This window comes from Homo sapiens, chromosome 1 (assembly GCF_000001405.40).
Source record: "Homo sapiens chromosome 1, GRCh38.p14 Primary Assembly".
NCBI lineage: Eukaryota > Metazoa > Chordata > Mammalia > Primates > Hominidae > Homo > Homo sapiens.
The window spans coordinates 26,748,898-26,770,639 of NC_000001.11; the positions used below are offsets into that span (position 1 = coordinate 26,748,898).

At 46.5% G+C, this 21,742-nt stretch overlaps 1 protein-coding gene across 2 annotated transcripts in view; it reads left to right on the plus strand.

Annotated features, from left to right (window-relative positions):
• The window catches only part of ARID1A (AT-rich interaction domain 1A), an 86,090-nt gene that overhangs the window by 52,883 nt on the left and 11,465 nt on the right, over nucleotides 1-21,742 (plus strand). For both annotated transcript variants that reach the window (NM_006015.6, NM_139135.4), the window contains exons 5-11: nucleotides 11,959-12,199; nucleotides 12,487-12,576; nucleotides 13,255-13,422; nucleotides 14,076-14,388; nucleotides 17,324-17,469; nucleotides 17,560-17,669; nucleotides 18,893-19,102. In NM_006015.6, the coding sequence (NP_006006.3) occupies nucleotides 11,959-12,199; nucleotides 12,487-12,576; nucleotides 13,255-13,422; nucleotides 14,076-14,388; nucleotides 17,324-17,469; nucleotides 17,560-17,669; nucleotides 18,893-19,102 (1,278 nt within the window). The remainder of the gene's footprint in view (nucleotides 1-11,958; nucleotides 12,200-12,486; nucleotides 12,577-13,254; nucleotides 13,423-14,075; nucleotides 14,389-17,323; nucleotides 17,470-17,559; nucleotides 17,670-18,892; nucleotides 19,103-21,742) is intronic.

The window sequence follows — 21,742 nt, forward strand, 5'->3', positions numbered from 1 at the left end:
CTCACGCCTGTAATCCCAGCACTTTGGGAGGCCGAGGCAGGCAGATCACGAGGTCAGGAGATGGAGACCATCCTGGCTAACACGGTGAAACCTCATCTCTACTAAAAAATACAAAAAATTAGCTGGGCATGGTGGCGGGCACCTGTAGTCCCAGCTACTCGGGAGGCTGAGGCAGGAGAATGGTGTGAACCCGGGAGGCAGAGCTTGCAGTGAGCCAAGATCGCGCCACTGCACTCCAGCCTCGGTGACAGAGCGAGACTCCGTCTCAAAAAATAATAATAATAATAATTCTCTGGGGTCTGTGGGTCTGTCCCTGCAGTGTCTTGTGGACTGCCCCGTGTAGCTTTGGCTCTCTCTTGGATTTACTCCCTTTGAGCTGGTGCCTAGAATTTCTCCGGGGGTAGGGGACAGCTGTGAGGAGCACCTTCTCATCTATCCTTTGCCAGTTCTCATTGTGTTTGGTGTTTGTTTTATTTGTTTGTTGGGGGGCGGCGGGGAGCGACAGGGGAAATGTTGAGCAGAAGCACTCGATGTGATTAAACCTCCGGCTGAGCAGATCTGTAGGAGTAGAATATCGACCCCTGGAAAATCAATGGCTGCTGCAGTGACCCAGCCGCTGTTTGCAGGGGCTACCACCACAGGAATGCAAGCAGCCCAGCAGTCTTTCTTCTCCCCACCTTTTTACCTCAGCAGTGCCCTCAGCCTCCACCCAGAGGGTCAGACCTGCCTCAAGAGATTTTGCAGAGGTGGGTTAGAACAGCACGTTCTCGTATTTTCACAATTAGATTGAAATTTCTCCAGTGACACAGAGCCCTGCCTCTGGCAGCCTCCTTTCCAGACATTCCTTTTCTGCACTGCTGCAGTTCTAGCAACAGCTCTTACCAAGTTGCCAAAACCCATTCGGGGTTGTACTTCTGAGTTTTAAACAGGAGAATCAATTCTCTTGATACCAGCACCCAAGAGCCCCTCCCTTGTGGAGGTCTAGAATTCAGGTACTGGGGTATAGGATGGGGGAATAGAGATTAAGGGAAAGAAAGAGGACTAATAGAGGTTGTGTCTAAAGAGGATGCTTTTGAGTAGATAATTCATTGAGCAACATTTATCAAGCATCTTGTCGTTTGTGTGTCTGGCATCTTTCTGGTCACTAATAGCCTGATCTTGCTCTGGTCCCACAGGCTAGTGGAGAAAAAGGGCGGATAGAACACAGTGCCATCAGTCCTGTAACACTGCTTCTAGAGGAGCCTCAGAGGAACTCTGTGCCCTGCCTATAGGGTGAGAGTAGGGAACTAGTCCTGTGACTTGGGTCAAAATAGATGGTTTAATAGAATGGCTAGCAGATCTCTGCTTGGAGCATGGAGGCTTCTGATTCCTCACTGCCTCCACAAAACTGTTTTCATCTTGGAAGTTCCCAAGGCTAAAAAACAATTTTAGCCTTTAGTTGTTGTACCTATAATGCCAATTCTACTCTGGTGGTTGGGAAACCAGCCAGCCTGATGTGTGTGAAAGGAGAGCTCAGTTGCCCTATTGTTGGAGCACCTCTGTGGCCAGAGGGTTGAAGCTTGCTTGGCTTTTAAAGCCTCTAGAAAGGAGCCTTCCCGTCTTGTAGCTTGGAGAGTGGGGTCCCTAAACAAAACCCAAACATCCTGCAGTTTGGAAGGGTGGCTGCAGTGCTGGGTGAGGAGGAAAGTGTGAGGGTTTGAAGTGGCCTAAGAGGAGGCCATCTAGAGGCCAGGAATATCTTGATTTTTTTTTTCTCTGTGAGCCACACCCTTGTGATTGATAAAAGGCTTAGAACATATTCAGTTTGAATACCCAGCAGAGACCAGGCTCCTACCTTCATGGGACTTCTACCTTCATGGGACTTCTGCTTGTTTCCCTACATTCAAAGTCACCCTCCCCACAGCCCTCTGTCCTCTTACACATTAAGTACCCTACAGAAAACCCAGGGGTGAGAAAAAGTACTGTACCCTTTAATTTAGCATAGAAAAATTAGGTTGAAGTTGAAGGTTATCAGTGAAAGGGCTGATTTGAAATAAAGGCTGAAAGTTATAGCAAGAGTAATTAGGAAAGAGGGGGGCCGGGCATGGTGGCTCACACCTGTAATCCCAGCACTTTGGGAGGCCGAGGCGGGTGGATCACTTGAGGTCAGGAGTTCGAGACCAACCTGATCAACATGGTGAAACCCCGTCTCTACTAAAAATACAAAAATTAGCCGGGCGTGGTGGCGAGGGTCTGTAATCCCAGCTACTCGGGAGGCTGAGGCAGGAGAATCACTAGAACCTGGGAGGCGGAGATTGCAGTGAGCTGAGATTGCACCACTGCACTCCAGCCTGGAGGACAGGGCAAAACTCCGTCTAAAAAAAAAAGGACAGGGGAACACATAGCATCACAGATTTGTAGAGTTTGATTATCTAGTGTAAGTCTTTCCTTCAATAAAGGAGTTAAGTGAGCCTCGTGAGGTTAGCCAGTTGAGTCAAGTAGCTAATCACGCAGCATGTCTGGTGATATAGGTTGTTGGCCTTACCTCTATTGGAGCATGGAACCCAGCCTTTGATCATGTCAAGCTTCTATTAATACCTTATGGAAAGAGTGTAAAGTAATAATGGATTTGAACCTCAGGTCTATTTAATAGCTGTCTGTCCTTGGGCAAGTCACTTCTGAACCTGCTTCTTTGTTAAAATGGGGGTAATACCTATATCAGAAGATGATTGTGAAAATTAAATGAGAGTCAACCACTCACCTTAGGGTTGAATATGTGATAGTCACATATTCATGTCAATTCTGCTTCCTTTCAAAAGGAATATATAAAGGAACTTTATTAACTTTATCTAACATCCTTTGTATTTGGAGATTTGGTCTCCAGAGCTTTCTTTATGAATTCTGATGTGTATATAGGGAGTTTCCTCTTGGAGACGGGCCCCTGAAAAGCATTCTGGAGACAAGAAGAGTCTTAACCCTTCTCTCCTGTGTCTTCCCCGTCAGGTGGCCAAAAGGTATCAGGAAGAATGAATCATTATCTTCAGAACAATAGCCTATGTAGAAAAAGAGAAGAGGGAGTTTGGTGGGGGATTTCATCCTATGCAATGGTTTCTAAGATACAAACCAAGTTTTTGGAAACTTGACGGGGGCAAGTAGGAAACACATTTTTCTAAACCTTTCCTGGAGTAGTTTCTGCTGTTCCAAACCATGGAGGTAGTCCATGTAGGTGATAGGGCTTGGTCCTACACTAAAAGGGTAGTGTCAACCTCTGCATCTTTTCTTCCCGTTCCTTAGTACCTGCTTAATTAACTTCTGACCTGGAATTACCACCGGGTGTGAAAGGCAGCCTATTCTGTGTGTTGATTCTTTCTTGGCATTTCAGTTAACATCAGCAAGCCTGCTCTCTATGCATAGGTGGCAGTTAATCTGTTGGATTGAGACCACTCCGTGGAATAATGTCACAGCAGTTCTGTAACTTTTGGAGTCCCTACCAGTCTGGGGTGGGTCAAATTTCTCTTTCTTACATTTATAGCAAAGACTAAGGAGAAAAAAAGAACTTATGACTGAAACTTTATTGTACAAGTGTTCAGTAGAGGTAGTCCCTTCTCCTCTGCTACCCTCAACAAGTTGTTGCTTAAGGAAGGTTTTATGAAAAGCCAAGTCTCCCAAAAACTTATTTGCCTTAAGTAATTAATTTTGTCTCAGTTTTTCTTCCTTAGAGTTTAAGGCTATTGCCTCCTCTCCTACCTTTTCCTTTTCTTCATGGGTTATGTTTCCCAGTCTCTTCTGTGTTCTTCAGGATTTCCTCCCATTCTTCAGCATGAGAGCAGCCTAGGGGCGGGGCGGGGATAAGGGACTGACAAATTACTAGTGTAGATTTGGTCATTATGGAATTTTTTATTCAAGTATTGTCATTTAAGTGGGGATGGCTGAGCTGCAAGGTTCCCAGTGCACACACTTACTACAGGCATGTGCGTAGGATTTACCTGGTTCTCATGACGGGTGGTTTACCTGCCAGTATCAGCACAACTCAGCAAAAGCTTTTCCCAACTAAATGGGTACAAGAACTCCATCTGGGATTCCCCAAGGATTTAGCCAGATTTATGGGAAAACCCTAAATCTGAGCATTGCCATGAGCCTATTCTTTATACTTAACCTGTTGCCATTTAACCTGCTCAGCAAAATGAACTGATGTCATCCTCATGTGGCTCTATTGGGAGATAATTTAAACTTCCCTCCTCTAACCCTGATCTGGTGTCTTCCTGCTTAAAAATATTCTTCAGTGGGCAGCCAATTCATCTTAGAACTTGCAGTTCTTCCTGTGAGAGTACCAGCACCCCCACCGTCCCTACCCCACAAAATAAGGTATGGACTGTGTGATTTCAGGCATGGTTTTGTTGTGGTGTGAAGAGAAGGTGTTTAGCTGCTGAGTTCTGTTTGTTAGCAGAGCCTGACAAACTCATGCTGGCACTCACTAGGGCTGGGCAACCAATCACAGCTGGGACGGTTATCGTCATGGAGTCCCTATGGGCTTCCTCTATCAGGTCACATCCCAAAATAACATTGGGCAGTATTTCAACTGAAGAAATGAAGGCTTTCAGGGCTGTAGCCAGCCTGGAGTGTGAGATTCTGTGTGAAATAGTTGGATCTGCTCCAGCGCTTTTGATCTGCATGGTAGATGAGCAATAAAATGCACAAAACACATTGGAAACACGTGAGGAAATTCTCCTGGCCCTGCTGCTTCCTTGGAACTGGTAGGGCACTGAGTGGGCTGATCCTCACCTCCCATCTCTCAGCAGGATTATACTTGGAGGAGAACAAACCCGGGAAAAGAAATCTTCCCATTAAAGGGGCATTGCTACAGTTATTTCCGCAGTCCTTCCAGAAGATGCCTGTTAGGTGTGCTCTTTTGGGAGAATTGAGAACCTGAGAGTCCTGAGATGCCAAGGGCATCCCTCACCAGGGAGAATAGGGGCTTGGATTGCAGTGGCGTGATCTCGGCTCATTGCAAGCTCCGCCTCCTGGATTCATGCCATTCTCCTGCCTCAGCCTCCCGAGTAGCTGGGACTACAGGCACACGCCACCACGCCTGGCTAATTTTTTGTATTTTTTAGTAGAGATGGGGTTTCACTGTGTTAGTCAGGATGGTCTCAGTCTCCTGACCTTGTGATCTGCCTGCCTCGGCCTCCCAAAGTGCTGGGATTACAGGCATGAGCCACCACACCTGGCCCGACTGAACTTTTTATTAATGATAAATGTGTTGTAGAAAACTGAACTGTTAGGAACATTGAGGTCTGACTCAACAATCAGACATCTGGCTTTTTGTGGAACAAAAGACCTGAAAAACTGGCTTTTTGTAGAGTAGAAAGCAGAGGTGTGTCCTGTGTAATAAAAGGATGTGGAGCTGAGAGCAATATCTGTTCATGTAGATAGAGGGGCAGGACATCTTTTGGAGACTTCTGCCCTTACCACTCCCTCCCATTTCCCAATAAAAATATTTACTATGACTAGCCACTGGGACTGGTGGGTATGTCTTAGAACTTATATTGCTGGTATGTTGTTATATCTCTCATTCCAGAATATTGCTGCTGGTCGTTTGACCCTGACCATATGGTGCTAGGGGGGATTCATGCATATGCCCCAGGGGTGTCATAGACTTAGATTTATCCAGCCCCCTCTGATTGTATATGTGAGAAAACTGAAGCCTGACTTGTTGCCAGTTTGCCTAAGGTCACAACTGATAAGTACCAAAAGCTGGGCCTTGGTTTCCTAACTCAGAGGCGTGACCTTTCTCCTCAGTTCATATAGTGTCACAACATAATGGAGAGAGAAAGCCAGCATGGCCTATGGGGTTCAGCAGTCCCGGGTTTAAAATCTGGCTTCCACCACTTGCCAGATGACCTAAGCATGTAATCCAATCTCTTTAGGCATCAGCTTCCTCATCTTCAAATTGGTAATGTGGCTGGGTACAGTGGCTCACGCCTGTGATCCCAGCACTTTGGGAGGCCAAGGTAGGAGGATTGCTTGAGCTCAGGAATTTGAGACCAGCCTGGGCAACATGGTGAAACCCCACCACTACAAAAATACAAAAAAAATTAACCAGGTGTCTGTAGTCGCAGCTACTCTGGAGGTTGAGGTGGGAGGATGGCTTGAACCCAGGAGACAGAGGTTGCAGTGAGCCAAGATTGTGCCACTGCACTCCAGCCTGGGTAACAGCCAGACCCTGACTCAAAAAAAACCAAACCAAAACCAAAATGGTAATGGTAGTAGTATCTATAACCAAGACTTGTAGAAAATTGGGTAACTTTGCTAAGTGTCTGGCATATAGTAGATGCTTAAATGGTAGCTGTAGTTAATCGTAAATGATTTACCCCTTTCTATGCTAACATTTTGGCTCTTAAAATTATTTGAAACCAACTATCTGATGCTGACCAGTTGCCATCTAATGAAAATGACAGTTTGAGAGGTTGGCCTCAAGCCAACCAAATCAGAGAGATAAGAAGATTAATGCTCTTCCTTCCCTAGTATTTTTCTATACCCAGGCATCCCAGCCAGGTGGGACTACTGTTGACAGTGGTTTATTTAGCACTTTTTCTCCAAGAAGCTCAGGGCACTTTACCAAAAGTGACAGCTCTCCTGAAGAAGGGGAAGCCACCTCTTTGCCAGCCACAGATGCCTCCAGAGTTCTGAGACCCCAGCCCCAAGAGCTACAGAGGTTTTCTTTAGGCTCCTAGGATCCCTCAGGTGGACCAGGGGCATTCTCCTTTTGGATCTATGGTGAGCCTGGTTTTTTAACTGAAAGTGTGGCTGAAAGGACCTCCTCAGTTCTTGCCCTGAGCTGATAGGAGTGGTTGGTGGGTTTTGGTTTTTTGGTTTTTTTTTTTTGAGATGGAGTCTCGCTCTGTTGCCCAGGCTGGAGTGCAGTGGTGCGATCTCGGCTCACTGCAACCTCCGCCTCCCGGGTTCACGCCATTCTCCTGCCTCAGCCTCCCGAGTAACTGGGACTGCAGGCACCTGCCACCACACCTGGCTATTTTTTTGTGTTTTTAGTAGAGACAGGGTTTCACTATGTTAGCCAGGATGGTCTCGATCTCCTGACCTCGTGATCCTCCTGCCTCGGCCTCCCAAAGTGCTGGGATTACAGACGTGAGCCACCGCGCCTGGCCAAGTTTTGGTTTTTTGTTTTGTTTCTTGTTGTTTGTTTTTGTTTTTTTTTCTTAGCGCTTCAGTACATGTCCAAAGATACACACCAAGGCCAGGGGCAGTGGCTCATGCCTGTAATCCCAGAACGTTAGGAGGCTGAGGAGGGCAGATCGCTTGAGCCCAGGAGTTCGAGACAAGCCTGAGCAACATGGCAAGGCCCCATCTCTACAAAAAAATTTAAAAATTAGCCGGGGGGCCAGGCGTGGTGGCTCATGCCTGTAATACCGGCATTTTGGGAGGCCAAGGTGGGCGGATCACCTGAGGTCAGGAGTTCGAGACCAGCCTGGCCAACATGTTGAAACCCCGTCTCTACTAAAAATACAAAAATTAACTGGGTGTGGTGGTGCACGCCTGTAATCCCAGCTACTCAGGAGGCTGAGGCAGGAGAATTACTTGAACCAAGGAGGTGGAAGTTGCAGTGAGCCAAGATTATACCACTGCCCTCCAGCCTGGGTGACAGACCCAGACCGAGACCCTGTCTCTTTAAAAAAAAAAAAAACAAAAAAACACACACAAAAAAAAACCCACAAAGATACACACCAAATTGAACAGCGGTTTCTCTATTGAGGGCAACAGAAAGACAGCCATGGGGCACTTTGGCTTCACCTATAATAGCTGAAATGTTTTTTTTTTTCTTTTTTGAGACGGAGTCTCGCTCTGTCGCCCAGGCTGGAGTGCAGTGGCACAATCTCGGCTCACTGCAAGCTGCGCCTTCCAGATTCACGCCATTCTCCTGCCTCAGCCTCCCGAGTAGCTGGGACCATGGGTGCCCGTCACCACGTCTGGCTAATTTTTTGTATTTTTAGTAAAGACGGGGTTTCACCGTGTTAGCCAGTATGGTCTCGATTTGCTGACCTTGTGATCCGCCCGCCTCAGCCTCCCAAAGTGCTGGGATTACAGGTGTGAGCCACTGCGCCCGGCCCAATATCTGAAATGTTTTTATCATGAGAATGTTTATGTTTTACTTGTATAACAAGACACAAAAATGATCAAAACAAAACATTTAATTTTTCTAATCCCAGCTACTCAGGAGGCTGAGGCAGGAGAATCACTTGAACCTGGGAGGTGGAGGTTGCAGTGAGCTGAGATCATGCCACTGCACTCCAGCCTAGGCGACAGACGGAGACCCTGTCTCTTAAAAAAAAAAAAAAATGCTGAGGCGAGCGGATGGAGGTCAGGAGATCCAGACCATCCTGGCTAACATGGTGAAACCCCGTCTCTACTAAAAATACAAAAAAAAATTAGCCGGGCATGGTGGCGGGTGCCTGTAGTCCCAGCTACTCAGGAGGCTGAGGCAGGAGAATGGCGTGAACCCAGGAGGCGGAAGTCACAGTGAGCCGCGATAGCGCCACTGCACTCCAGCCTGGGCAACAGAGTGAGACTCCGTCTCAAAAAAAAAAAAAAAAGGAAATAAAAACGCACAAAGATACGCACCAAATAATTGAACAGTGGTTTCTCTGTTGAGGGCAACAGAAGGACAGCTGTGGGGAACTTTGGTGTCGGAGACTTTGGCTTCACCTGTAATATCTGAAATGTTTTTATCATGAGAATGTTCATGTTTTACTTGTATAAAGACAAAAATAATCAAAACTTTTTTTTTTTTCTTGAGACGGAGTCTCACTCTGTCACCCAGGCTGGAATGCAGTGGTGCTATCTTGGCACACTGTAACCTCCACCTCCCGGGTTCAAGGAATTCTCCCTGCCTCAGCCTCCTGAGTACCTGGGATTACAGGTGCCCACCACCACGCCCGGGTTTTGCCATGTTGGCCAGGCTGGTCTTGAACTCCTGACCTCGTAATCCGCCTACCTCGGCCTCCTAAAGTGCTGGGATTACGGACATGAGCTACTGCGCCTGGCCAACATATAATTTTTCAAAGCGATTTGAACTGAACCAAGTTCTCGTCTGATGGATGGATCCCTGATTCCTATTCTGTTCTGAAATACACTTCTTTTTCCTGTAAGCAGGAAAGTTCTTATTACCAGAAGCTGGCAGTTTGATAAGGAATGGAGACTGTAGGAAGGAGTGGGTGAGGGAACCTTCTGGTCCCTAAAACAGCATTGAGCTGTGGAATTTGCTATATAGACTGTAGGGCCTAACGAGTGCTTCTTGAGACCCTTTCTACTTACAGTGGCTCTCCTTGTCATCTTGCTGCCTCTTTTAGTTTGTTCTTGGCTCAGAGGCTAGATGTCCATGGTATAACTTAGCCATCAAAACAGGGATGGGGCTGGGCACAGTGACTCATGCTTATCATATCAGGAGTTTGGGAGGCCAATGTGGGAGGATTGAGCCCAAGAGTTTGAGACCACCCTGGGCAACATGGCAGAATCCCTTCTCTACACACACACAAACACAGCCAGACATGGTGGCGCCTGCCTGTACACACACATACAGAGCCAGATGTGGTGGTGCGTGCCTGTAGTCCCAGCTACTCAGGAGGCTGAGGTAAGAGGATCACTTGAGTTGGGCAGGTTGAGGCTGTAGGGAGCTGGCATCATGCCAATGTACTGCAGCCTGGGGTAACAGAGTGAGACCCTGTCTCAAAAAAAAAAAAAAAAGAAGAAGAAGAACCAAGGATGTAATCCCTCTATCTTGGGATTAACATGGGGCTCTTCATAGCTCCAGGTACTTTAGTCCTTCGAGAAAGGAGGATGTCCTTTGCTGTTACCTTGTGGTTGGCCTCTTGAAATCATTCTATGCTGGAACGAATTCTCATTGCATTTTTAAAGTATGCTATGGCATACCTGGCCTACTTCTTACCAACAAGAAAGCTAGCATTTTCTGACTTCTCAGCTAACATGGAAAGCTGGACACAGGCACAAATGCACACCTACCTACCTGCCTTCAGAGCAAACTTTGTCTCCAAGAGCTCAGCAGAAATGCTCCCAGCCTAATGAGGTACCCAAGTGGTTTGTGGAAGGTCCACCCAGCTTGGATACTTGAAGGAGAGCCTAAAAGCTGCCCTCTGACCTCCAGTGTTAACTGTCAGATCTTAGGGTCAAAGTCACTTTCAGCCGATCTTTCCCGGGTGAGCTTGTTTGTGTGAGCAGGAATAGACTCAAATCAAACCAACTTGGATCTCCTCCTCCTTGAGATGTGTGGTGTTTTCGGTTTTGTTTTTGTGTGTTTGTTTGTTTGTTTTTGAGATGGTGTTTTGCTCCGTTACCTATGCTGGAGTGCAGTGGTACAATCTCGGCTCACTACAGCCTCCTCCTCCTGGGCTTAAGTGATTCTCCCACCTCAGCCTCCCAAGTAGCTGGGACTACAGCTGCACACCACCACACCTGGCTTATTTTTGGGGGTATTTTTAGTAGAGACAGGGTTTTTGCCACGTTGCCCAGGCTGGTCTCGAACTCCTGGGCTCAAGTGATCTGCCCGCCTCGGCCTCCCAAAAGGCTGGGACTACAGGCATGAGCCACTGCGCGTGGCCCAGTGTGTTTCTTTAAGAGAACTCTTTATTTACCATTTAAGTATCAGGGTTTTCATCCTTTCTTCAATTACAGTTAGTTCCCAGCCTGAAGTAATGTTGCTAGAGAATGAACATGGGGCAGGGGATGGAGTTAGGGTACATTTTCTGGGGTGAATATTTTTCATATTGAGCTCCTGTTTGCTAATACTGGAGTTTGTTGACCTAGAGTGAACTCTTTATTGATTAACTGAAGACAAGCAAAGCCTACAAACAAATACCAAGTTCTCACTGAAAAACATAAAAGCTGGGAAAAAAACAGAATTTGTTCAATTGGCAAACATTTGTTGATTACTGTTATAGACCAGGTGTTAGGAGTGTAGTCCCAGACCTTCTTGGCAGTTAAGAAATTGTCTTTCTCATCCAATGTCTCTCTTTCTTACCTCCTACCCCTTATGTTGCAAAGTATGGTGACTTGGAGTGAGTCCTTGGCAAATGGAGGCTGTGATAATCTATAGTAATAATCATCATTGTAATATATAATAGAAGGAGAGGGGATCTATAAATGTTTCCCAAACTTGTTAACATTCTCTTGTAGCTCCTGGTGCCATCCTGGCAGCATTTTGTAAAGTTTTGCTATTAGAAAAGAACTAAAGCCTCACTGAAATAGTTGCTTTCTTATGACTGTAGAAGTTATGACTGGGAAAGAAGACAAAAGTGCTAGATCTGCTTCTGAGGGGATAGAATAGGAGTCAGCAAAACTCAGTCACACCATTGTTTGTATATTGTCTGACTACTGTTGCACTATAGTGTCAGAGTTGAGTAGTTTTGAAGGAGGCTTTATGGCCCACAAAGGTCTAATATATATTCCACCTGGTCCTTAACAGAGTTTGCCATATGTAAGTTATAGTATGATGACTAGGGCCGGGCGCGGTGGCTCACGCCTATAATCCCAGCACTTTGGGAGGCCAAGGAGGGTGGATCACCTGAGGTCGGGAGTTCAAGACCAGCCTGACCAACATGGAGAAAACCCGTCTCTACTAAAAATACAAAAATTTAGCCGGGCGTGGTGGTGCTTGCCTGTAATCCCAGCCACTCGGGAGGCTGAGGCAGGAGAATTGCTTGAACCCAGGAGTCAGAGGTTGCGATGAGCCGAGACGTGCCATTGCACTCCAGCCTGGGCAACGAGTGAAACACTGTCTCAAAAAAAAAAATTTTTTTTTTTAATAAAAATAGTATCATGACTAAAGAACGTGTGTGATGTATTTGCTCTTGGTTGTTTAAGGAAAATGCTAAGCAAGTAGTAGGATTATTGAAAGTAGAATCTTTCTGCCTAATATTACTAATCCATGTTCTTATATATATGTTCTAGGATCTATCTGGTTCAATAGATGACCTCCCCATGGGGACAGAAGGAGCTCTGAGTCCTGGAGTGAGCACATCAGGGATTTCCAGCAGCCAAGGAGAGCAGAGTAATCCAGCTCAGTCTCCTTTCTCTCCTCATACCTCCCCTCACCTGCCTGGCATCCGAGGCCCTTCCCCGTCCCCTGTTGGCTCTCCCGCCAGTGTTGCTCAGTCTCGCTCAGGACCACTCTCGCCTGCTGCAGTGCCAGGTACCCTCAAGTGCTGGGCTTTAGGGAGAGGGAAAGGTGACTGCCCCCAGTAATATTAAGGAGCCCTAGTCTTCCACTGGCAGAGAAAGCATCTCTGGCTCATGCCTGCATAGTTTCCCCTTAGCATTTGGAGAAGGAGATTGGAACCTGTTGGCTGGATCTCTTTGTGTGTGATACTGGGAGGTACTTGGCCTCTTCATGAGCCATTTCTAGCTCTGAATTAACTTCCTAGTTAGAATTCCCAGGCTTAGCCATGATATGCTTATGTTGTTCTTTGTCTGGAGCAGGCAACCAGATGCCACCTCGGCCACCCAGTGGCCAGTCGGACAGCATCATGCATCCTTCCATGAACCAATCAAGCATTGCCCAAGATCGAGGTGAGAGCCTGGGTGTTGGGGAGGGGCAGGGAGCTAGGGCAGACATTTGAGTGCCCTATGCAGTAGCTTTTGGAGAGCTGTTTGACCATGAAGCTTAGGACAATCCCTGCAGCAAATTGTTTTTATATTCTTTAAAAGTTGACGTAATAATTGTACTCATTTATGGGGTACATAATGATGTTTCAATAGAAGTAACGTATAGTGATCAGATCAGGGTAATTAGCAGATATATAATCTCAAACACTTATTACTTCTTTGTGCTGAGACCCAGCAGCAAATTGTGAAGTTAGAGTGGGCTTGGCCGTGTTAATGTCTCCATTTCACAGTACTTGTCTGTGTTTTGATGGTTGCCCCCTTACATTTTGCCTCATTTGGTCGGCAGTTGCTGAAGACTCAATGTTCGGTCTTCACTCATCAAGTCATTCATTTTGGTTTTTGTCATTGTTCTTTGTCTTTTCAAACCTCCATTTAGTAGAAACAGCTGGCATGCCCTGGTTAATGGTTCATGTCACTCTGAAGGTGCCTAAAATGACACACCACTATATAGAAAATCAGATAGAGACTCCATGCAAGTGGCTGCTAAAGAAAATGTAGATGGTAAAGTCCCAGGATAAGGATGGAGAGCATTTGTTCGCATTGTATAAAGCTAATAACTATATGGATGCTACCCACAAATAGGTTATATGCAGAGGAACCCCCAGATGCCCCAGTACAGTTCCCCCCAGCCCGGCTCAGCCTTATCTCCGCGTCAGCCTTCCGGAGGACAGATACACACAGGCATGGGCTCCTACCAGCAGAACTCCATGGGGAGCTATGGTCCCCAGGGGGGTCAGTATGGCCCACAAGGTCAGTATACTACCCAGTTAGGAGTAGATACGGGTGAGAGGAGAAAACAGTTCCTTGTCTGATATGTTGCCATCTAGCTTGTAACCTTGTGAGAGAAGGGCTGTCCTTTGCCTTTAATCCACCCAGCCCAGGCCCTGAAGTAGGGCAAGGCAAGATTCCATTTGTCTCCACTTATTCTGTCACCATGAGAAAGTCTTTCAATTTCACTGAGCCTCTGTTTCATTTATAAAAATGGAGATTAGGTGTTTACTCCACCATTGAGCACAGACAATTTATACATGGTAGCTCTTGGTTATTATTTTTTTATTAATTATTTTTAGTGAATAAGTCATAATGGAATAGATCTTTGCTCAAAATTGCAGCCCTAGGCTGATCAAAAGTTGAGAATCTTACACAGAGCATGGAAATAGAAAGGAAGTTATCTTCTTCTGGAAGTTGAAATGCCTGTGTGGCAGCAAAGCCAGCCTTGCTCTGACCTGCCTTTACATGCTTCTGGAATCCCCCCCTTTTTCTCATGGCGATAAAGGCTACCATGAAGTTGATCTCTTTCCTAACCAAAATATTGAATGACATTGTTTGGTGTTCTAGAGTTGAGAGATATTAGTGAGTTGCTAGTGAGTGACTAACCAAGTCTTGTCTTCCTCCCCTCCCAGGTGGCTACCCCAGGCAGCCAAACTATAATGCCTTGCCCAATGCCAACTACCCCAGTGCAGGCATGGCTGGAGGCATAAACCCCATGGGTGCCGGAGGTCAAATGCATGGACAGCCTGGCATCCCACCTTATGGCACACTCCCTCCAGGGAGGATGAGTCACGCCTCCATGGGCAACCGGCCTTATGGCCCTAACATGGCCAATATGCCACCTCAGGTTGGGTCAGGGATGTGTCCCCCACCAGGGGGCATGAACCGGAAAACCCAAGAAACTGCTGTCGCCATGCATGTTGCTGCCAACTCTATCCAAAACAGGTAAGGCCTGGGAAGCAGAGAGGGTGTCAGTGCAAGAAAATGTATTATAGACCCACTCAGATTATTGAGATGCTTCTGGACCTAAACCAGGGGGGGAAAATGGGTGTGTGTGTATGAAGTGTTAATTCTTACATACCTTAGATGGGTCTGAAATTTCACGTGACTAAACATCATATGTAATGAGCTTTATAAAAGACAGGTTTTTGGCCGGGCGTGGCGGCTCATGCCTGTAATCCTAGCACTTTGGGAGGCCAAGGCGGGCAGATCATGAGGTCAGAAATCAAGACCAGCCTGATCAACATGGTGAAACCCCGTCTGTACTAAAAATACAAAAATTAGCTGGGTGTGGTGGCGCACGCCTGTAATCCCGGCTATCGGGAGGCTGAGGCAGGAGAATCACTTGAACCCAGGAGGAAGAGGTTGCAGTGAGCCAAGACTGCGCCACCACACTCCAGCCTGGGCGACAGAGCGAGACTGTCGAAAAAAGGGGTTTTGTGGGGTGTTTTATTTTGGGGTCTTTTGAGACAGGACCCTGCTCTGTTCCCCAGGCTGAATTGCAGTGGCATGACCACAGTTCACTGCAGCCTCGACCTCCCAGGCTCAAGTGATCCTCCCACCTCAGCCTTCTGAGTAGTTGGGACTACAGGCACACACCACCACACCCAGCTAATTTTTTTTATTTTTTATATTTATTTATTTATTTAGAGACTGTCTCACTCTGTTGCCCAAGCTGGAGTGTAATGGCACACTTTCAGCTCACTGCCACCTCTGCTTTCCAGGTTCAACCAATTGTCCTGCCTCAGCCTCCCAAGTAGCTGGTGTTACAGGCACCCGCCACCATGCCCTGCTAATTTTTATATTTTTAGACTGGGTTTCACCATGTTAGCCAGGCTGGTCTCAAAATCCTGACCTCCAGTGAGCTGCCTGCCTTGGCCTCTGAAAGTGCTGGGATTACAGGCATGATCCACCATGCCCGGCCTTTTTTTTTTTTTTTTAAATAGAGATGGGGTCTCAGTGTGTTGCCAGGGCTAAAGACTGCTTATTTTGATGTGCAAAATAAGTGTTCAGAGTAGGTGGTTTAACTTCTATCAGTCAACTTTTTGGTTTCCAAAAGGATTCTTAATGATACATATGTCTTGGATCTTTGGTGTTAGAAATAGCAAATGGTAAGCTTGTGGTTTGCCATTTCTCCTACTGTTTTATGTGGTCCTACGTGTTGACTCTGGTGCTAGAGTACAGAAGGCTCATGTGATTAGGTTTAACAACTTCTTTAGCCACTAAATCTTACTGAGTTGTTGTTGATGAACCAAGGTAGAATAGGGCGATTGACTATAAAGAGGTGGATTTGGTAGAACTTCAGAATGATGGAAGTGCAAAGTTTGCATTGGGCCCCTCAAGAAATAATGCAAAGCCACCTCTGGGTGCTATGCTGAGGGTTCCAGTCTGGTTGGGATTTAGCATGACAAAAAGTGGTACAGTTCAGCATTTCATCTATGCCTTTTGCCACAGACAGGGCCCTTAAATGGAAATACAACTTGACTTTGGAGGTGGCTTTGAGGAAGGCAGTACTTAAAGGACACAGCAGGGCTCTGCTTCAAAGAATTACACCCTTTGAAATTGAGCTATTGTGGCCGGGTGCGGTGGCTCACTCCTGTAATCCTAGCACTTTGGGAGGCTGAGGCAGGTGGATCACCTGAGGTCAGAAGTTCAAGACCAGCCTGCCCAGCATGGCAAAACCCCATCTCTACTAAAAATACAAAAAAATAGCCAGGCATGGTGGTGGGCGCCTGTAATCCCAGCTACTCACGAGGCTGAGGCAGAATGGCTTGAACCTGGGAGGCGGAGGTTGCAGTGAGCCGAGATCATGCCATTGCACTCCAGCCTGGGAGATGAGTGAAACTCCATCTCAAAAAAAAATTGGCCGGGCATGGTGGCTCACCCCTGTAATCCCAGCATTTTGGGAGGCTGAGGCAGGCGGATAACGAGGTCAGGACATCGAGACCATCCTGGCTAATACGGTGAAACCCTGTCTCTACTAATAAAGTACAAAAAATTAGCCGGGCGTGGTGGCAGGTGCCTGTAGTCCCAGCTACTTGGGAGGCTGAGGCAGGAGAATGGCGTGAACCCGGGAGGCGGAGCTTGCAGTGAGCTGAGATCGCGCCACTGCTCTCCAGCCTGGGCAACAGAGCGAGACTCCATCTCAAAAAAAAAAAAAATTGAACTATTGTTTGCTATCTAGAGCTTGAACTCTCTTAGTATCTTTCGTGGGAGGTAGAAGATAAGAAAATCTGGGTGTTGGCCGGGCTCGGTGGCTCATGCCTGTAATTCCAGCATTTTGGGAAGCCGAGGCAGGTGGATCACCTGAAGTCAGGAGTTCGAGACCAGCCTGACCAACATGGAGAAAGCCCATCTCTACTAAAAATACAACATTAGCCGGGTGTGGTGGTACATGCCTGTAATCCCAGCTATTTGGGAGGCTGAGAAAGGAGAATTGCTTGAACCTGGGAGGCTGAGATTGCAGTGAGCCGAGATTTCACCATTGCACTCCAGCCTGGGCAACAAGAGTGAAACTCTGTCTCAAAAAAAAAAAAAAGAAAATCTGGGTGTTAGCTGGACATGGTGGTGCATGCCTCATAGTCTTAGGCACTCAGGAGGCTGAGGAAGGCAGATTGTTTGAGCTCAGGAGATTAAGGCTGCAGTAAGCTATGATCACACCACTGCATTCCAGCCAGGGTGCCAGAGCAATACCCTGTCTCAAGAAAATAAATTAAAGAAAAATAATATCTGGATGTTGCATAGTTCTAGTTTTGGGGACCCATAAATGTTTTCCTTTTAATCCTTACTAGATGATCACACAGCACTATTTGGCTCCAGTTCAAATCTAAAAGCTCAGAGTCTAACCTTTGTCTCTCTCACTTTCCATCTTCTTCCTTAGGCCGCCAGGCTACCCCAATATGAATCAAGGGGGCATGATGGGAACTGGACCTCCTTATGGACAAGGGATTAATAGTATGGCTGGCATGATCAACCCTCAGGGACCCCCATATTCCATGGGTGGAACCATGGCCAACAATTCTGCAGGTAAGTGCTAGTCATTCTCACTAGGGATTTCTTCAAGAGTCACATCACAGCTAAACTTACTGGACTTGAGAATTTTTTTCTCTTTTACAGGGATGGCAGCCAGCCCAGAGATGATGGGCCTTGGGGATGTAAAGTTAACTCCAGCCACCAAAATGAACAACAAGGCAGATGGGACACCCAAGACAGAATCCAAATCCAAGGTAGTGATTTTTGTCTTGACTCCTTTCAACTTTGTGTCCTATCTTTTTCAGTGATAGGAAGGAAAAAGAAAAGAGAGTGACAAGATCCCAGCCTTTTATGACACCGGACTAGATAGTCTCTGAAAAAGCTGCTGTTGCCTCCTCTTATCATGAAAGGTCCCAGAATAATAGCTCAGTGAGTTGGGTCTGGGTTGGTCTAAGGGATCCTGGTAAATAACATAATATTCTCACAGCTGTTTGTTATGGGGGAAATGCCAGACACTGCAGCATCAAACTCTCTGTACTGTTTGGCTGGTGCCCTCTGTGAAACCGTGCCTCCTATACTCAAGCATTGATAGATGGGGTGTGCCATGGGCAACTAGTTGCTCTTCTCTTCCTGAACCTTACTCATAGCAGCAGGAATGGTACCCTGTGTTCTGTAAAGAAGGAGATAAGGCAGATGAGGCTTGAGTCCTTGGCTTCCCTTAGGTTGGTCCTGGGTGTACTGTTAGGCTGTGCGGTAGTAAAGGGTCCTACTCAGCATTTGGGTCATTTGTAATATTTCTGTCCTTGGCCATACCTCACTTTCCCTATCTGTATACATAGGGAAAATAAAAATCATAGCTGTTAATTCCTGTGAGTCTTCACCTCTGGCTCCCAGCCCTTTTGACCACGTTCCTGTCTTGTACAGGATAATATCCAAAGCCCTTCAACCAGGTGGGAAACCTTTCCTTTGTTTAGAAGAGGCAAAGAGTTTCTTTTCATTTTAGTCCATCCCATTGCCTCAAGATCATGTTGTGAGTTTTTCGATTTCTCTAAAACATAGTACCTAAGTATGTTCAGGCTCCTGGGTAGTAGTGTGGGAGCAGTAGTGGCTTTGATGTCAGGTGGACAAGGATTTGATACTCAGCCTGCCACTTAAAAGCTGTGAGATCTTAGGCTTTGCCTCCTGGTGCCTGCTTCCTTATCTTTACAAATGGGGATAATTTTATAATACCTAATATATAAAGGCATCTAGCACAGCACCCAGTACATAACATATATTTAGTGTTAGCTTCCTTCCTTTATAGGAAAAAAAAATTTGGTTCTCTTTTGGCCCTTCAACCTTATGAAGGTAGGACAGGTGTTAGTAACCACCCCAGAGTAAGAAGCTTTAACACTGCTCCAGTCAAGAGACTTCTGAGACCCTTAGCACAGGCTTTGAATCTGACCCATTCCTATGAATTTTGACCTGAACCTTCCAGAAATCCAGTTCTTCTACTACAACCAATGAGAAGATCACCAAGTTGTATGAGCTGGGTGGTGAGCCTGAGAGGAAGATGTGGGTGGACCGTTATCTGGCCTTCACTGAGGAGAAGGCCATGGGCATGACAAATCTGCCTGCTGTGGGTAGGAAACCTCTGGACCTCTATCGCCTCTATGTGTCTGTGAAGGAGATTGGTGGATTGACTCAGGTGAGTGGGCGCCTGACACTTGACTGCCCCTGTGGTTTCCACAAACCCCTTTCTAGGTACTCACTGGCTTCATGTGGTACCATGCATCCCACAGGGACATCATCCCCTCTCCCGCTTTCTGAGTCTAATATTGATAGACCGGGGAGCACAGGTTTCCCAGAAGATAAGGCAGGAAGCAGAGACCTCCCTGGTAGTATGAGGTATTAGCAGTAAGTTTACCGTGTATCTATGGTCCCACTGAGGTGTAAAGCTAGGGAAAGTCTGTGGGCATTCTGATTCCATGGGAGGCAATTTGGCATAGTAGCAAAGACAGGATTTGGAGAGATGGACCTGGTTTTGAATCCCTTCTTGGCCACTTATAACATATATGACCTTAAGGTGTGTAACCACTCTGAACCTTAATTTCATTATTTGTAAAATACAAACAGTATGTAACAGTATATAACCCACTAGACTGTCAAAAGTTAGAAATAACTTTGGCTTTCAGCAAGGTTTCTGCCACATAAATCGGCCTGCAAGATGGTACAGAGGCAGCCAGAGTAGAAGTAGATCTTCCCATTCCTGGAAGCTTCCCAGTAGAGATAGGATTTCAGGAACTGCTTAGTAGAAATAGTTTATAATAAAGGAAGAAGTAGTAGGAAATTATGTGTTTAGTTATTCTGTATGGGAAACTTAAATGAAAACCTGAATTGGACACCACCCAGAGCTTGTGCCTACTCTGATACCTTACAATTTTGTAGACTCAGCCCAGGAAGCAAACAGGTGAGGCAGCACAGACAGACAGCAGACTGTGCCTTGCAGACTTCCCTCCTGTGTATGTTCTGTAGTCACCAGACCAGAAGCCTGCTGTTGGATCAGTTTGTGGCTGAGCTCGGGGAGGTGTGGCAGGGAGGGATTTATTCCAAACCTTCTAAATCAGAAGAGGAAAACAGCTGTCACCAGCAGAAAAGAAAGTGGTTGGAATGAAGCCAGCCAACAGTCAGTTATGAATTCCTTCTCCCTTCAGGCTTTATTCCCCTCCCCCACAAAGGAAAACAAAACAAAATAAGACACGTGCATACTGCCACATAACTGGCATGAGAAGCAAAGCCACGGAAGGCTTTTGAGGTGACTCCATGCATATTCCTGCCATTCTCCCTGATACTCAGATCTCATAGTCAAGCCTTCCCTGTCTATAGGGAAAGGGAGCATTGGGTTAGGTTTCGCTCACTTCTGATTGGGTGGGCTTCAGGGTTCACTGAACCTAGGATGAGGTACAGAGAGAATTCTAATGCCTGAGCCTGTCTTCCAGATTGGAAAAGGATGCAAACCTTTAAAATGCCGTGATTGTAACTGAACTTTTATAAAGGCAGTGATAATTCAGGGGCAAAAGAGTGCTATTTATAAGTTAGTTTGTGAAGGCTCCAAGAAAGCAAAGCTGAATCTTGAGCTTATCTAAAGGATTAGTAGGGTTTAGGTGGAAGAGTGGCCAATCCAGTAGACTGGCCTAGATGCCACGGAGATGGGAGAGAGTCTAGATATTTCCCACCAAGGCCATCTCCAACCATGAAGACTTAGCTCAGGTGTTACCCACTCTAAGAAGTATTCCTAGTCACCTCTGCCCCTCTAGGTTGTCCCCCTCTGTGCCTCTTTAAACTCTTCTTTCTAGTATCATAGGTATCATATCAGCAGACATTACAACCTATTGAACTTCCTTTGTGTATAGGGACTTGAAAACCCTTGTTCCCAGGCCTTGGGGGAACAGGCTTACCATATGGTAGATGAATAAGCATAAGAATACATGAAGAAGGAGACCTGTCCAGCTAGAGCAGAAAGACTAATTGTAGGGAGCATCTGGGGAATGGGCTTGGTCAGTGTGCCCTGAAGCTGAGGGAAGGAGGCAGAACTGTAGGTTGGCTGCTCGGGAGGTACAAAAGTCATAATAAGGCCCCGGGCCAGGCGCAGTGGCTCACACCTGTAATCCCAGCACTTTGGGAGGCCGAGACGGGCGGATCATCTGAGGTCAGGAGTTTGAGACCAGCCTGGCCAACATGGCCAAACCTTGTCTCTACTAAAAATATAAAAATCAGTGGGGTGTGGTGACAGGCACCTGTGGTCCCACTACTTGGGAGGCTAAGGCAGGAGAATCACTTGAACACGGGAGGCGGAGGTTGCAGTGAGCCGAAATGGCGTCACTACACTCGAGCCTGGGTGACAGAGTGAGACTCTGTCTCTAAATAAATAAGACCCTGAACACCCGGACCATCAGGACAGTGACTGGTAAGGGAAAGGGACCTGTGGTTATTTGTCAATGAGATATGTAGGGGAGCAGTGGCACAAGAATGTCAAATTTGCAGGGAGCCACCACCCCAAGAAAAAAATATGAGTAAATCCCAAGTTTGACAAAGCAAGTCAAGCAGGGTGGTCACTGATATTATCATGAGTCTCCATTTTATAAAATGTTAGTTTTTATTAGTGCATCTAAAATAGGATTTAGGGCCAGGCGCGGTGGCTCACGCCTGTAATCCCAACACTTTGGGAGGCTGAGGCGGGTAGATGACTTGACGCCAGGAGTTTGAGACCAGCCTGATCAACATGGTGAAACCCCGTCTCTACTAAAAATACAAAAATTAGCCAGGCGTGGTGGTGCACACCTGTAAT